This window comes from Homo sapiens, chromosome 9 (assembly GCF_000001405.40).
Source record: "Homo sapiens chromosome 9, GRCh38.p14 Primary Assembly".
NCBI classification, from domain to species: Eukaryota; Metazoa; Chordata; class Mammalia; order Primates; family Hominidae; genus Homo; species Homo sapiens.
In genome coordinates, this window is record NC_000009.12 from 68,868,157 (window position 1) to 68,886,378 (window position 18,222).

The following is an 18,222-nucleotide window of genomic DNA, read 5'->3' on the forward strand; positions in this document are numbered from 1 at the left end:
AAAATCATGATCATATCTTAATATTTTGACCCCAAATTCTGTGTTGGGATCAGAAGCTCAAGGTTATAGATAGGTTTCATGCATTGATAGGATAAAGAAGAAGGAGGATGGTTTATAAAGCTTGTACCATGTAAACAAGGACCTAAGGTGGCAAAGGGAGGCAACATTTTTAAAAACTAATTGTGAATCAAGCATAGTTTTATTCATATAGTAAATTGACTTATATAACATATATTAATTTTTATTATCTTTCATCTTTATAAGAACACTATTTGGTATATGAAATAATTTGACCCTAAGACATTAAGTCACTTAGCCCAAGGCTATCCAGCCAGTAAATGGTAAAGCCGAGATTTTAACTCAGGGTTAGCTGGCCCCAAAGTTTTGTTTTTCTCTACATTGTGGCAATAAAGCATGGGAATGGTATTTCTGCTTTATTGAATCAGAACAAGTGTCCAGCTTTTATCTTAGAATTATAGACCTCAGTCTGCTTCTTTGTTCCCCTAAGAGCCAGCCCTAATCTGTTCTCCAGGAGACACTATCACTACCTTACCTGGAGGTGGCAAAAATGGTTTAAAAGCTGGTGGTAAAAGTTTAAATATCTTTCCATATTCAAGAATAATTACACAGCTGAGGAATTTTTAAAGCCCCTATATTTCAGTCTCTTCACTTGTAAAACAGGAGTTTACCCTGATGTAAAGATCATTACAGAAAACAGACTGCCCTTGGGTTTGACCCACATGCACTTCAGGATTTATTTGGACAGCCAGGGAATACCCACCTTTTGGAAAAGAATTCCAAGAAACTACGGCAAGGGTAAAACATTATCCTAAATGATAAGCAAACATATATGTCAAAGATTCATATAAAATATTGCCTCATATCATCACTCAATGTTACAGGTTTGACAAACTAGCCAACTGCCTGCATTTCTAGGCATAATGACATAAACTTATCCAAGAGTCCATCTTATACCAGGGATTCCCAATCCCTGGGCTGTGGACAAGTACCAGTCCATGGCTTGTTAGGAAACCAGCAGCACAGCAGGAGGTGAGCAGAGGGCAAGCAAGTATTACAAGGGCGAGCTCCGCCTCCTGTCAGATCACTGGCAGCATTAGATTCTCATAGGAGCACAAACCCTGTAGTGAACTGTGCATACAAGGGATCTAGGTTGTTTGCTCCTTATGAGAATGTAATGCCCGATGATCTGAGATGGAACAGTTTCATCCCAAAACCATCCCCCCATTTCCACTGTCTGTGGAAAAATTGTCTTCCACAAAACTGGTCCCTGGTGCCAAAAAGGTTGGGGACCACTGTCTTATATCATGTGGGTCAGCATACAACAGCCCATGGGACAGGCCCCGCTAACTGCCCGTTTTTGTAAATAAGGTTTAATTGGAATAAAGCCACATCCATTCATTTACAAATTGTCTGCGGCTGCTATCTACAATGGCTGCAGAGTTGAGTAATTGCTACAGAGACTGTATGGCCCACAGAGCTCGAAATATTATCTGGCCCTTTATAGAAAAAGATTGCCAAGGCTGGCTGCAGTGGCTCACGCCCGTAATCCCAGCACTTTGGGAGGCCGAGGTGGGAAGATCACATGAGCTCAAGAGTTTGAAAGCAGCCTGGGCAATATAGTGAGACCTCATCTCTTTATATTTAATAAAAATAAAAATAAATAAAAAAGAAAAAGATTACCAACTCCTGATCTATACAAACATTCTGCACCAGTTTTTATGTACATGTGGGTAGAAGACAAAGCTGCCAGCTTAGTCTTCTTGGGAGAAAATGAGAAGTGACTGCTGCTGGGCAAGCCATAATATGATGCTCCTTCAAATCAAAACTCTTTATGTCTTTGTTCAGCGTGTATTTGGTGAGGATGGGGAGAAACTGATTTCCTATTACTAAAAGCCATATACCTCTTCCTTTAGCTCAAAGGATTTATTGCATGCACTGGATATTATACAATATTCTACTTTATTTGAAGTTATCTTCAAGCACGGTTTTCCAGTATGGTAATAACTTCTTGGATGGTTTAATGTTTATATAACCGATGATGTCACATGTTCCCAGTAAATGACATCCCGGAATGCACTGTTTGGTTGGGGAATTTAAGCTGTCTTCAGATGCTGACTTTTACAGATTGGCTGTCAGCTGGTTGGTCTCTGAAGATGGTGCAGCCTCGTCTTATACAATGCAGTTCATGTGTACCCATCACAGAACTGCTCAGCAACAGGAGGTTGGCACCAGCAAGGAATGTGTCTTTTGTTTTGCTTTGTTTTGTTTTTCCATTCATGAGCACTCTCTAATTTGGCAAAAAAGAGGACCAATTTCTGTCTCTCTCTCTCTAGTTACGTAAAGAATTGTATGTGGAAACCAAGGGATATCCACCTTGGCTGAATTGGCAGAGGCAATTAATAATACCTTAAGGCCGCTTTTACAGACTGCTGTGTACGAAGGTCCAACTTGAAGACTGGGTACCATCAGTAGTTTGTTACTGGATTGTAGTGGCATTCACCCAACTGTAGTGCCACTTAAGCTTTCCTAATGTCTGCACATCAAGACAAAGCACCCTTCATTTATCCTGTCATACAGAGGGTAAGGTCATGTTTGTTGAATACAAGTGAGGGCATTTAGCATCCTTTAGCGACACTGACCACTATCACCCAGGAGTTGCGTAAGTACTAGTTTTGTCAAAAGTCCTCAGAGCCACTATTGATGGTTTGGTTACAATTTGAAATAAACAAAGCTCACTAAATGGAAAATGCTGCTCTAGAGGCAAGAAAGCTCTGAGTCTCAGCTCCAAAACTGGTCCCCTTGTGTTGTCTTTGAGATGCTAAATTAGTTTTACCCCATTGCTTACCACCACATCTCTCAGTCCAGTGCCACCAAAACTAGCACTTGGTCATCAGGCTCTAAAACCCCATAAACAAAGCTGTGTTGTTATTAGTACATAGAGAGGAGAACACCAACTGACCAAAGCTTCTGTAAGTGAAATTCTACCCACCAGCCCCTGTGGTGTGAAGGCCTCATGTGGAAGTAATTGGGATATTTGGGCAGGGAGAAACCCCTGAAACTTGTAACAGAATCCTGAAAAGGAGGAATAACAGAGGAACGTCAAGTCTAAGTTAAGCCATTCCTATCTGCTTATGACTTTTCTGCTGTTCTGATGTGAGTCTAATCTCCCAATCTTGTTTGTTCCTGATCAGTTTGGGCCATTGTTTTCCCTCCCTGGACTATGATTTATCTGCTAAATGGGGAATTCCAGATGGCGGCTAATGCTTCCTCAAGCTTCAACATTGTGTAATTCTGAACATACGTTGCCATTAAGATATATGTATTTTTAGACTAAGACAAGCAGTAGCTTTGGCCTTAAAAATGAACTTGCCTCAGAAGAGGTGAATATCAGAATGCCAGAGCTGGTCTGTGATTGAACTTTAACTGCTTCTTAGTGAATAAGTGGGGAAGAGGACAGAGAAACTTCTGTTCTTTATTTGAAATTTCTTTCTCCTTTTTTGGAGCTAAAAATGCCCTGATGTGATAGGGATTGTAACGTGTGCTTGCTTAATTGTTTAGGTTCTTACTTGGCAAAATAAATTTGGAAATCCAAGGTTGGATTCCAAACTTTTGTTGTCGAAATTTTACTGGCCCATGGGATCCAAGCATCTAGAACCACTGCTCAAAACCCCATAGCTGAGATTTCCAAAGCTTCAACTTACGCCAAGACAAGAAAGTCAGTTGTCGGGTGTTTTTTTTTTTTTTCCACACCCTACATAAGTGCATTGAAGAAATATAAGGTAAATCTTAAACTGTGAGGAGTTCTACTCTTTTTCTGACTTCATTTTTGCTAAGTCTGGATGCTGAGCACAGTTACTCAACAGGTAACTCCAGTCTCAAGCAAGGAAAGCCTGTGGACTTCAGGAGGCAAACGTTGATTGCGGTCATTGTGTTTGAATGTTGGCAGTTCTGCCATGGTGGAAGTTGCTAAGCACTTGGTACCTGTGCTGTGGAGATTCTGTGCTGAACGCCTGTGGGCTGGCACCCACATCTACACACAGTAAATGTGCCAGCGTGGGGCCTCAGAGAACCAAGGTTGTTGCCTGCTGGCTGACCTTCACTGGACTTGCTGTTTTGTTCTCTGCACTCGTGCTCCCCTGACAAATATCCGGGCCCAGCAGGGGCCAGCGATCTCATTAATTTGCATTTCCTTCACTAGAGCTTCATTCATGTCAAGCTGGTATTTGTTATTCATTGGAACAGCTTAAATATGCAGAGGTAAACAAACCTTCTGCTGTGGTGCTGAGCACGGAGGGCTCAGTTTGGGGGAAGAGGAATCAGTTTATGGCTTTTAACCTCTAACTTTTTAAATTTATTTAATTTTGTGAATGATAATACACAGCAAGGCTTGTCCTGTTCTTAAAAGGAATACTGTGAAGAGTTCCTTTTGTCCCTGTGCCTTTTTTTCAGTGTCCAGCTCCAGTTATCACTGTTACTTGTGGCTGTTTTTTCCTTCAAGGATTTTTTATGTATATGCATGCCAAAAGAATATTTGTTTTCTTTTTTATGCAAGTGGTGACATCCCCTACACAGCATTCTGCATCATGTTTCATCCACTTAACAATTTATCTTAGAGATCTTGCCATGTCAGTACATAATAAGCACCCTTATTCTTTTCTTAATACCACATAGAATTCCATTGTGTAGCTGAATCATAATTAATTAGACAAGTTCTCTCCTGAAGGCCATCCAGGTTACCATAATGAGTAACCATGTTCACATATATTGTTTTGGACAAATGCTAGTTTATCCATAGGATAACATAGGCATGCATTTGCTGGATCGAGGAGTTACATGTTTGTAATTTTGATAGAAGTTGTGAAAATGTCCTTCATGGGGAAAAAAAGTCTCAATTTACATTCCCACTAACAATATTTCAGAATAGCATTGCCCCTCAAGCTACATCACAGTCGTGGATTTTCACCAATCTTCCAGGTAAAATGGTCTCTCGGTGACATTTATTTTATGAATGAGGTTAAGCATCTTATGTTTGAGTCATATCTTTTCATTTCTGTGAAGTGCCTGATCATATCGTCAGCTATTTTTTTAAGTTAACTTTCTGATCTTTTTTTTTTTTTTTTTTTTGTCTGAGACAGGGTCTTGCTCTGTTGCCCAGGCTGGAGTGCAGTGGCGCGACCTCGGCTCACTGCAGCTTCAACTTCCTGGGCTCAAGCGATCCTTCTGCCTCAGCCCACCAAACAGCCGGGACTACAGATGTGCACCACCATGCCCAGCAAATTTTTGTATTTTTCATAGAGACAGGGTTTCACCATGTTACCCAGGCTGGACTTTTTGGACTTCTATGCAGTTCATTGGAGCTCTTTATATTAGGAGATTAGCCCATTGTCTGTGATATGAGTTGTAAATATTTTCCCATTTTGGCATTTATTTTTCTTATTTTTTTTTAACTACTTTTTCAATACATTCCTCATGTGAAGTGTTTGGCTCAGGGCTGTTTCCTATATAGTCTCAATCATCCAAATGTGTTAGGGGCTCCCTGCATTCAAAGTACTTTACCTTTCACCTTTTCATTTACTAAGCCACTTAATTTGTAGAGGTTCTGTACTGGGCCTCGTGAAACTCAGCTTTTAAATAACAGAGATAATTTGAACCCAGGTCTCCCTGGACTATAAAATCCATCATCTTAACTACCACACAGTGTATCCAGTAGGACTTAAGAGAGTACAGCCCAGTCTTAATATTAACCAAAGGAAAACAGAAGCCATAAAATAAAACCTACTAGGAGAGAAAACAAACAAGAAGTTTTGATGTACTATGAACCTAATTTACAGAAGGCACTATTTGAGAATTTTCCTTTCCATTCACGCAAATACAGAGGTTCAAGAGTGTGTAACCTCAGCAATTAATTGTTATTTCCTGTATGTTAATTACGCCATGAAGCAACATCCATTCTGTATGATGCCTCCATTAAGTATTATGCCCACTCCTTTTCATTTTCTCTGTTTATACAAATATAATTTCTTGATTATCCCATGTAGGTAAGCCTGCCTCACAGTTGGCCCATACTTCTCCATGTCTTAATATGGCCCAAAGATAGCTAGATTTAATTCTTTTTCATGGAATGATTTAGTGGTTTTTTTGAATGACCAAATACCTGTTATTATTTCTGTATGCCTAAGGAAATAAATGTTCCCCTTCTCTACCTGAAGCTGCTCTGCTGTGTGTACATGAGCATTCTTGTGTGTATGGGTGTACGTGTGTCTGTGTGTCTGTCTCACCTCCAGGGAAACCTAACACTATCGTTTTATACCATAACTGAATAAATCACAGCAGTCAGAGAGATGTGAACCCAAGGAAAATTATTATAATTAATGGAAACTTCAGGGAAAGATGAATAATCCAAGGAGCTCAGAACTAACCCAAAATGAAAATAATAATAGTAAATGCAGCATCCTCTCTGATAAAATCTTGGGCCCAAAACTGCAACAAAATGAGAAACTCCATTTAGGTGGAACATGGGTGTTTTATCTTACCTCTTTGAATGTTGAAGGAAATCTGCTCCAGTAGAATGAGTTACTTTGTATGGGATAGAAGGTGAAAAAGAGAGAAGAAATTGGCAACACTCTTAGCCCACTGAAAGCAGCCTGCTTCAGAACCTAAGGCCTTGTGGTTATTTTTACTCGCTTGCAAAAGTGAGGAAGGATGTTATAGGTCTCTTTGAGCCTCTTTGCTTTTACCCTTTATTTCTATATGATCTACATTTATATTAATAAATTATTACATGCCATATAAGTTCCAGAATCATTCCTTTTGACAGTCCCATGGGATTTAATCCCCTCCTAAATCCCAAAATATAGAAAGAGAAAATGTTTGGGTACAGCACTGGGGCATCATGCATACTGAATATTCAACAATAACCATTTGAATGAGTGGATGATTTGGGGGTCATTCCTTACTATGTGACTGCTCTTCTCTCAGGCAGTCTTAGTCCCTGTGTCACTCTCCTAGTGTGTAGCCGGGCTGCTGCCTGAGTGTAATCCTAGCCTTTCAAGATAACCATTTATTATATGGTGCTGACCCCTAACAACACAAGCCAGCTCCATCCTCTGGTACTCAGCAAAAAAAAAAAAAAAAAAAAAAAAAAAAAAACAGTCATCTGTAATCGTGCAGGAGGAAAAACTAGTTGCGTTGGTTATATTGAATAGATACTTCCTAAATAGTTTTCAAGGGTGACCTGTGACTATGCTGAATTTCTGCCTTACATATTGATTTTCTAATGTAAATTCCATGTAATAATCAAATCTTCTCTGTTAACATTATGTTGAAGACTCATTCCTTCACTCAACAAATACTTATTGAGTGTCTGCTATGTGCCAGGCATTGATGCAAGAATCTGATTGATCTGAACAACTTAAACTATAGTAGATCCAAAGTGTTTATTCTGTGCTGAAAGCCTTTGTCATTTGCCCAGTCCTTTTTGTGTGGTATCCATAAAAAGCAGACCATGATAAACTTGCATAGGCTCTCAATGTCCCACCTAGAATGTAGATCAAAGGGATTTTGAACCTTTACATAAAATTCTATTGCATTGTTCTAATTTTTCTGAAAATTTTAAGAACAAAAACACTGAAAAATTTAAGAATGAGTGGCTTAGGTGGTTTGACTGAGCTCATGTATTAGGTAATATTGTATGGAGTCAAAGAATAAAAAGGATGAGATTGATAAACATCAACATTTAGGCCAGTGGATCCCTCTATGGATCTGAGCAGTAAAAAGTACAGAAGGGGCTTCAACTGTATGGATAATGTTTTATGTCTTAAGCAGCATTTTGGATTCATTGATATTCACTGGTTTATTCTTTGTACATTTTATATATCATAAATATTGTGTATAATTTTTCAAAATGAACCCAGAAAAAGGAAAAGAAGATAATGATATATTGAGGAATGGAAATCAGGTTTTAAATTTTTTAAATATGTAAGGTCTCCTTTTTTGGAAAATGTAAATAAAAGAGTTCAGATTGGGGTCCTATTCCATGTGATGGTTCTCTCTGTTGGTAGGATGTTTTAAGAATTATTTCACTTATCCCTGGTTAACAATGTTTGTCAAATATCCAAAATTCGTGGTTAAAAAAATGCATTTTTGAAATTGCTCCACACTCTAAGGCCTAGATCTTTTACCCAAAGCATTACAATGTGGTTACACTGGTGATAATGGAGTGATCTTCCCAGGAAGAAGGCACAAGGGGATAAATGAATTTTCAGGCATGTGACACTGATTGACAGGGAAAGCCTGCACGGAGTGACCTCACTAACTAACGTCTTATTCTGCCTGGTTATCATTGGCCTTTATGACATGAACTTTGAGAAACCCGCTCTCAGGGGATGATTTTTCTAGAGATAACATTGGCCCAGGACTAATAGAGCTACAATTTGCGGTCAAAATTGTCCTTGCTAATGTGTTCTTTCTTTCTCTCTCTTTTTAATATTTTGACTTCAGCGAAGGGAGCAATCTGACCCCAGCACATCACTACCCAGACTTTAGATTTAAGACATACGCTCCATTAGCATTCCGATATTTCAGAGAACTTTTTGGTATCAAGCCTGATGATTACTTGGTAAGAACCTGTCATTTTTCTTCCTTCTATAGAAATGTGTGATGTAAACATTTGTCTCATAGCAACAGCAACAAGTGGCTTGTGTCTCTCATTTTATAAAGCTCTGGGGCGTAGTAAAAGTTCCAAGTTTTATAATGATTATAAATTTAGCTTCAAGAAATTTGATGTGACTTTGTAGCTTTTACTGATAACTGCAAAATCTGTGGTGGTAATTGATATTTAAATAACTATAATATCAGTTGTGACTTCAGATAATTATTCTAACAGATATGTTATAATTAGTTCTAAATACTCCTGTGAATTTTGCTGATTAGATTCTATTTGAAAGCCTTTCTATGTTAATTGCCTTATTTGTACCATTCCTCTCAACTACCTTGGCCCACAATCATTTCACCTTGACCTACAAATTTGAGTAAACATTGTAAAGAATCTGGATAGTTTTGTTCTCAAGATCTCTTCAGGCAGACTTTTTAAACATATTTTTAGTTGGTACAAGGGCATATTTTATCCTCAGATTTGTCTGTGCTCTTCATCTGCCTTCTGGCACACAAGAGGTACAGACACAACAGCCTTTTTGTAAGAGGTAGTCTGATGTGACCTCAGAGTTTTACCTCATTCCTGTTCAAGAAGCCAGGAACTTTCTGTTACAAGTGAAAAAATGGTTTGTTTCATAATTTGATCACTGTTAACACCCTGGGGGCTCCTCAGAATTGGTTTCAAAAGACTGTAGGAAGAATGCCATCAAATATTTATTGTTCATCCCATTCTGAATGATCTTAATAAGACTTGAGCCAGATCCTGGGATAATGCTTTTCAGAGGAAGTATAGCAACACGTGTAACAAAGAGTGCTTAATATGCATCTTATAATTTGGATAAGATGTAAATAATTAAAAGCTGATTCTACTCTGTGCTGATGAAGACTCTCGGATGTCTCCTCTGAATCTTCTTGTAAAGGAAAAAAGAAAATCTGTGAATGATCTTCTTTATTTGGTCCCTAAGAAAATCATATGACTTCTGCCTAATGAAGCAATACTGCTTCCTCAAGGCACATCAATAAGTCTCCAAAGAATGGTGAGCGCAAGGTTGAAAGTCCCTAGCATACTGCTGCCCTTAAATGTATATATTACTCTCTTTCTCTCACCACTCCCCTTTCATTGAAGCCTCAGGTGCCTCTACCCATCACTACCAATGCAAGTACACAAGCACACGCATTTGTTCTGTGTGTGTGTGTGTGTGTGTGTGTGTGTGTGTGTGTGTGTTAGAGAACACCCTTTGGTTTCTAGCCATTCTGTAATTACTGAGGGTTGCCATCATTCAGGAAATATATTTGAGAAACCCAATGGGGTTTTGATATTATATTATGGAAAACAAGATCTCTTATCTTCTGCCACACACTCAAATTTAATGGATTCTCTTTCTGAATTTCCTTGAACTTCTCACCAGCTGAAGAGATGCCTTAGACTTGCGTTTCACACTGTTGATCCAGTCAATATGACCAGATGGATGCCTGTCTTTAGCCCTCCCATATCCATTGCCCCAAAGGCTGGAAGTCCATTCTTTCATTCATCTGGACCTCACAAATTTGCTTTCTTTGGGGAAGATCCTTTTCTGAACAACTTCCCACACAGCCTCCCCAAGTTTCCTAATGAGTCTTTAAGCTGGAAAAATTATTTTCATAATGTGGTTAGAGTATTTACAAAGGAGCATAAGAATCTAAGCTCATCACTTCTCACAAGAAAAGTCTTTGTCCCTGTACCTAGCAAAAGGTAAATTAATCAATCAGTGGACACTTTGAACACCAATTATATCTAAAATGCTTTGCTCATAGTTGTAGGGAAATTCAAAAAACTGCAAGTCATGACACACAAAGAACTTAAAATCAAACTGGAATACTAATTTGTCTATGTAGAAAACCAATCAACTCTACCAGGCAATAAATGTAAAAACTGAAGCAAAACATGAAATACTCTAGGGTTGAGGTAGGGGTCTTTCTCTTTGTTGGGGTGATGATTAGGAGGTCTTCTTATGAGCATGATGTGGTTTTAACCATGCCTTAAAAACTACGAGGGATTTTAAAAGGTAGAAAAGAGATGGATGCTCAGGGGGTGAAGGGTTGGAAGGGGCACTGTAGAATCAGAGATGTGGATGTGTTCAGTTTTCGAAAGGACATTTAGTGGACCAATATGGCTGGAGGGGAGAGTTTTTATCAGGAACATTATTAACATTATTAAGAGATAGGTCCAGGCAACTCAAATAAACAAGCTTCTAAATTATAGGAAACTAAGGAAATATAAAGATTGACAAGATATTTGATGGTGTTGAGAAATAACTTTTTTGTGGGATAATAATATCATGGTTCTATTTTAAAAGGAGAATCCTTGTCTTTTAGAAGATATACTGAAATATCTATGGATGAAATGGTTTGATATCTGGGATGTACTTCAATAGTATCTGAGGAGTTGGTCAAAGCATACAAAATGTGAATTAGACAGCCAGGCACGGTGGCTCATGCCTGTAATCCCAGCACCTCAGGAGGCCGAGGTGGGAAGATCACTTGAGGTCAGGAGTTTGAGACCAGCCTAGCCAACATGGTGAAACCCCGTCTCTACTAAAAATACAAAAATTAGATGGGCGTGGTGGCACATGCCTGTAATCCCAGCTACTCGGGAGGCTGAGGCAGGAGAATCACTTGAACCTGGAAGGCAGAGGTTGCAGTGAGCCAAGTTCGGACCTCTGTACTCCAGCCTGGGTGACAGAGCAAGACTCCATCTCAAAAAAATAAAAATAAAAATAAATAAAAAACAAAATTTGAATTAGAGAGGAGGAATAAATACAGGAGATCTATTCTACATGGTGACTATAGGTAATAATAATATATACTTGAAAATTGCTAAGAGAGTAGATTTTAAAGATAAATGCTTGAGGTGATGGATATCCCAATTACTCTTATTTGATCATTACACATTGTGTATAGGTATCAAAATATCACATGTACCTCTAAAATATGTATAACTATTATATATCATTTTTTTAAAAAAGAAAAAGTTCCCACCACAAATAAAGTGATGAATATGTGAGGTAAATAATATGTTAATTAGCTTAATTGAGCCATTCCACAATGTATACATGTATCAAAACATCATGTTGTATACCATAAAAGTATACAATTTTATTTATCAATTCAAAAATTAATCGGAAGGATTGTGTACTCTAAACGGGTGAATTGAATGCTATCTGACTTACATCTCACTATAACTGTTAAATTGAATGCCCCCCTACAAAAAGAAAAATCTGAGGGAAGTAGGGCAGCAGAGTGGTTGGAGGTCTAGAAGAAACAAGATTGGCCATGAGTTGATCATTGATTGATCATGAATGAGTTGTCCATGAGTTGACGCTGGAAGATAGATACATGAGTGTTAATTTCACAATTCTTTTCGCTTTTATGTACGTAAATATAACTTAAAAGGTAGAGAGAGGCCAACTGTGGTGGCTCACGCCTGTAATCCCAGCACTTAGGGAGGCCAAGGTGGGTGGATCACCTGAGGTCAGGAGTTCAAGACCAGCCTGGCCAACATGGCAAAATCCCGTCTCTACCAAAAATACAAAAACGTTAGCTGGGCACGGTGGCATGAGCCTGTAGTCCCAGCTACTTGGTAGGCTGAGGCAGGAGAATCACTTGTACCCCGGAGGCAAAGGTTGCAGTGAGTTAAGATTGTACCACTGCACTCCAGCCTGGGCGGCAGAGCAAGACTGCATCTGAAACACACACACACACACACACACACACACACACGCATACACACACACACACACACACACACGCATACACACACACACACACAAAATAGAGGGAAAGATAGAGCCAGGTATGTAAGTGTGCTTTTGTTTGATTCCATTTGTCCACCTCCCTCATTCACCACACACATGGTTCAGTGTCTAGACACATCTCTGGGGCTTGCAAGAAACAGAACAAAGGCAGTGGCCTTAGCTAAACATAACTACCTGGTCCCCAACAGCTGCTGCCACCCACCTGTGCCTGCACTGGGGACACCTGCAGCACAGGACTGAGGCAGCTCCCCAACAAACTTTGGAGTCTCTGGAAGCTCACCTCCAAACCGCTCTATCTGGGACTGCACCTAATGATCTGGAGTGTGATAGATGAGGAAAGGGTCGTTTGCATGACACAGCATGCTTGAGTGTCAGGTATAATAACCTTCAGCGACTTTTTAGCTCAATCCTTCATTTTACAGATGAGGAATCTGAAGCTGGGATCAGCAAAGGGAGATGCCCAAGGTTACACACATTGGTGGGGGCAGAGCCTAGACCAAACAGTGGTCTCCCCATCCTTCCCCAAGAGCTTGAAGACCCTTCACCAGCTGGCCTCATGCTTTCCATATTTGATGAGAATCACAGACCTCTTACCAAATATGTACTCAAACTAGCCTCTTCCTAGCCCATTGACCTGTGATTGTCCATTCTGAAGAATACAGCTGAAAGAAGTCAAACACCTTTAACAAAACACATTGTGGAAGAGTTTAGCTAAAGGAAAGCACAGAAATAGGAAATAAGACATTGCTTGAAAAACCCTGTGAAGAAACAAAGGATACAGTGCCAATCACAAAGTGCATCGTGGTGGCTGTCAAACTGGGGCTACTCAAACCCACACTTGTAAGATACAGTGAGTTAAGTTGGAGGTGTGGGAACAATCTCTAGCCATTGGTAACTCCATACTTAGGTGTGATATTGAATACCTGCGATATGTGTGTATTTCTACTTAGCTTTTTGCTGTTGCATCTGGATTCCTGCCTGAATTACTCTGTTTATGCCCTCCATCCCATTAAAATTCACCCTGTGCATGCTGATTACAAGTTTCATGTTGAAACATGCATAATTTGGATTGTGAGACAGTATGGTGAAGGGGCTTCTGTACATACAGCAGTGCAAACTTTCCTTCTTCCTTATTCCTAGACAAACACCTCCCAAGGCAAAGCCAAAGGGCCCCAGAGCATTCCCATCTCTGCTTGGGCAACCAGCTATGGGTTCTTTCCTTCTCCATCATGTGCCTGGATATTCAAAAATCCAGTAGAACTTATATGAGTCTTTTCAGGCTCACCTGCGCCAATAAGAAAGAGAGCAGAGTGAATATTTCATACTATCGGGGGAAGAAATGGCACATAAAATTATCTCCACCACATGGGGCAAGTTTACATTGTTAATTTACACTGGCAGGGCCCAGCTGGGTTGTGCTCTGCTTTTTCTTTTTCTCCAGTGAATATAGCAGGGAGACCCTGCAGGAAATAGAAGCAAGAGCATGAATACATTAGAACAGCTTGCACAGATGACAAGTGCCTGGAAGGTGCATAAAACCCAGGAGCACACATGGGGGCTTTTGATCATGACTAATTAAAATGTTCCCATCTCTCCTCTTCATTTGCTCTTAAGAGGCAATGTTGCAAAGAAGGTGGCTTAGAAGAGAATGTGGTAACCAAGTTGTAGAGTGAGAAACCATAGAATTCTACAGCATAATGGTGATACTCCTGTTCAGTATCATAATCACAGTTTATTGCACATTGATGCTAGTCTATGAATAGCCCCCAAAGGGTTATTAAAGTGGATCAAAACAATTTATTATTTCATTCGTGTTATGTATAAATGACATAATAAAAGAATATTTGACAATGTAGTAACCAATGAAATAGTCTTCATATTATGTCACTGCATTTTTTTTTAATGTCACTGCTTATAGAAGAATTGGAGACTTTAATTGGGAGCAGATGTTCAGGTCTGAATCCAGTTTTTTCTAGACACCTCTTTCCGGATCACCCCCTAATTTCTCAATTTGCAACCTCTAATTTCTGCATCCTTTGTTGTTTTCATATTTTCACAACATAAACTCCTACCCATAAGGAAGTTCTGTGTCAGGAATTCAAATGCCATGGAACAAAGAATCCAAATTCCTAAAGAGAGTCTAGGGTCTGCCTTTACTTTTTATGAGAGCTTGGAGTCCACACCTTTATATTCCAGGGTCCCAAATTCGTGAGTAAATGAGAAACCCAACATTTTCTTGCTTCACTCAGAATGTTTTAGTGTCTCTTTGGATCACCCTGAAGTCATGGGCAGTAGGCTGAGAACCTCAGTGTATCCTAGGGTGGTATCAGCTCTTCCTTACCTGCCTGTGGAATGAGTATATTGTAGGCCGTGTGCTTCTCTCACCTGTGTGTGATCATGTCATAAAATTAACAACAGCAATACATGGTCACTCTTTGCCAGGGTTTTCAAAAGCATTCACTTTAAAAACTTCCAGTGACTTTCCAGTAGATATTATTACCTTTATTTTAGAAATGAAACTTCTAAAACTCCAAGATGCTAAATTCCTTACTCAGAATCACATAACTAGCAACTGATACAAATCTCACGCCCTTTTCACAAATCGCTCTTCCACAAGGACACTTTGTCTGCACACATGGCTGGGCAAGTGCTCTCTGATTCCTCTCGGTTTTTATGGTGTCCTGTCTGCAGTCTGATAGCTATTTTTGTTTTCCTAACTTATCCTCAACTCATCTGTAGGCTTAGGCTCTAATGCTGTTTAGCAAGAGATTGTCAAGAAGCAAGGCTAACAGAAAGAAGGGGAAGTGGACGATCAAAGTTGCCAATGACTTAGGAAGCCAGCAGACACTTGCTTCTTTCTTTTCTGGGATAATTTTGTTTCCTTTATCCTCAGTATTTTCAAAGCAAAATAATGTAAAAGATGTATCTAGAAGCTACCTTTTAATCATGTTTCTGCTAGTTTCTCTCTCCCTCCTCTCCCTTTTTCTTTCAGTCTCCCTCCTTTCAGGTTTTTCTATGATAGGGACTTAAATATTCACAAGCTCAGAACAAAAATTGTGGGATTTTTAGCCTTGATGTTTTTTCAGATGCCTACATCCTCAAGATATGGCTGTTTATATTACAGAGCTGTAGTATCAAAACAGCATGGTACTAGTATAAAAACAGACACATTGACCAAATAGGATAGAGAGCCCAGAAATAAACACACACACACACACACACACACACCCTATAGTCAATAGACTTTTGACAGAAGTGGCAACCACACACAATGGGGAAAGGATAGTCTCTTTAAGAAATGATGTTGGGAAAACTGGCCATCCATATTCAGAAGAATGAAATTGGACCCTTACCTCACATCATAAACAAGAATCATCTCAAAATGGATTAAAGTCTTAAATGGAAGGCCAGAAACTGTAAAACTACTAGAAGAACACATAGGGGAAAATTGCGCAGTATTGATTTAGGCAGTGATTTCCTGAATGCAACCCCAAAAGCACAGGCAAAAAAGTAAAAATAGATCAAAAGGGTTGCATCAAACTAAAAAGCTTCTGCACTACAAAGGAAACAACAGAGTGAAGAGACAATCTACAGATTGGGTAAAAATATTTGCAAATAACGCATCAGGTAAAGGGTTGATATCCAAAATAAATAAGGAACTCAAACTACTCAATAACAAGAAAACTAATAACCCTATTTAAAAATGAGCAAAGGACCTAACTATACATTCCTCAAAAAAAAAAAAAAAAAGATACACAGGCCAAGCATGGTGGCTCACCCCTGTAGTCCCAGCACTTTGGAAGGCTGTAGCAGGTGGATTGCTTAGCCCAGAAGTTTGAGACTAGGCTGGGCAACATGGCAAAAACCCATCTCTACAAAAACACAAAAAAATTATTCGGGCATGGTGGCACGTTCCTGTGGTCCCAGCTACTCAGGAGGCTGAGGTGAGAGGATCACCAGAGCCTGGGGAGGTCGAGGCTACAATAAGCTGTGATCAGCCCACTGCACTTTAGCCTGGGTGGCAGAGCAGGACCTTGTCTTTAAAAAAAAAAAAAAAAAAGACATACAGATGGCCAGTAGATACATTAAAAAATGGTCAACATTCTTAATCATGAGAGAAAACCACAATGAAATATCACCTCATACCTGTTAGAATGGCTGTTATCAAAAAAGATAAAAGATAACAAGTGTTTGGTGAGGATGTGGAGCAAAGGGAACTCTTGTATACTGTTGGTGGGAATGTAAATTCATACAACCATTTTGGAAAACAGTAGGGAGGTTCCTCAAATAGCTAAAAATAGAGCTACCATATGATCCAACAACCCCACCACTGGGTATCTATCCAAAGCAACGGAAATCAGTATGGCGAAGAGATGTCTGCACTCCCATGTCCACTGCAGCATTATTCAAAATGGGAAAGATGGAAGCAACATAAATGCCCATCAAAGGACAAATGGATTTTTTTAATGTGATGTATATACACAATGGAATACTGTTCAGCCTTTAAAAACAACAAAATTCTGTCATTTAGAACAGCATGGATGATCATAGAGAACAATGTGCTAACTGAAAGGAGCCAGGCACAGAAAGATAAATATCACATGATCTCACTTACTTGTGGAATCTAGAAAAATCGAACTCATTGAAGTAGAGGAGAATGATGATTACTAGAGGCTGAGGTGGTAGTGGGTGGATAGAGAATAGGGAAAATGTTGGCGAATGGATATGAAGTCTGCTGGATGGAACAAATCAGCTCTGGTGATCCATTGTACAGCGAGGTGAACACAGTTAATGTATATCTTTCTAAATTAATTTAAAAAGTGGATTTTAAATATTCTCACCACAAGGAAGTGTGTATGGTGATGGATATGTTAGCCATCCTGATTTGTTAGCCATTCTACAATGTATTCATGATCAAAACATCACATACCCAATACATATATACAATTATTATATCTCATAGAAAAACAAATACTGCATGTTCTCACTTCTAAGTGGGAGCTAAGCTATGGGTATGCAAAGGCATGCAGAGTGGTATAATGGACATTGAAGACTTAGAAGAGGGAGGGTGGGCAGGGGATGGGGAATGACAAACTGCCTATTGGGTACAATGTCCACTACTCAGGTGATGGGTGCATTAAAATCCCAGGCTCCACCACTATACAATTAATCCATGTAATCAGAAACCACTTGTACCCCTAAAGCTATTGAAATAAAAAAACTAAAATTAAACAAATCATTATTTGTCGATCGAAAATTTAAAAATAGAAAAATTTGGCCAGGTGCGGTGGCTCACGCCTGTAATCCCAGCACTTTGGGAGGGCGAGGCCGGCGGATCATGAGGTCAGGAGATCGAGACCATCCTAGCTAATGCGGTGAAACCCCATCTCTACTAAAAATACAAAAAATTAGCTGGGCATGTAGTGGGCGCCTGTATCCCAGCTACTCGGGAGGCTGAGGCAGGAGAAGGGTGTGAACCCGGGAGGCGGAGCTTGCAGTGAGCCGAGATTGTACCACTGCACTCCAGCCTGGGTGTCAGAGCGAGACTCCGTCTGAAAAAAAAAAAAGAAAAATTTAAAGATGATGTGGTTCTTTAAGCCCCTGCTTCTGCTAGGCTGGGTCTGTCTCACACCTGCATGGCCTCCTTATCTTTTTCTCTGCCACCCAGTGTTTCTCTAGTCAATTATGTAGCTTATTAATTAATAAACACTGAGCTTAATAAAACCAAAAACAGACTTCTTTGCTGGTTTTAGCA

General features: G+C 39.5%; 1 protein-coding gene across 14 annotated transcripts in view, besides 1 other annotated feature; it reads left to right on the top strand.

The window, feature by feature from the left end:
• Positions 1-18,222, top strand: part of PIP5K1B (phosphatidylinositol-4-phosphate 5-kinase type 1 beta) — a 303,937-nt gene that overhangs the window by 162,917 nt on the left and 122,798 nt on the right. For all 14 annotated transcript variants that reach the window (XM_017015189.2, XM_047423951.1, NM_003558.4 and 11 more), the window contains one exon: positions 8,521-8,638. In XM_017015189.2, coding sequence (XP_016870678.1) covers positions 8,521-8,638 — 118 coding nt within the window. The remainder of the gene's footprint in view (positions 1-8,520; positions 8,639-18,222) is intronic.
• Positions 3,986-4,570: an enhancer, noted in NCBI's record as "OCT4-NANOG-H3K27ac hESC enhancer chr9:71487058-71487642 (GRCh37/hg19 assembly coordinates)". NCBI's record gives its function as "activates a minimal SCP1, AML or CMV promoter by ChIP-STARR-seq in naive and primed H9 embryonic stem cells {active_cell/tissue: H9 hESC(naive and primed)}" and the evidence as "EXISTENCE:reporter gene assay evidence [ECO:0000049][PMID:30033119]".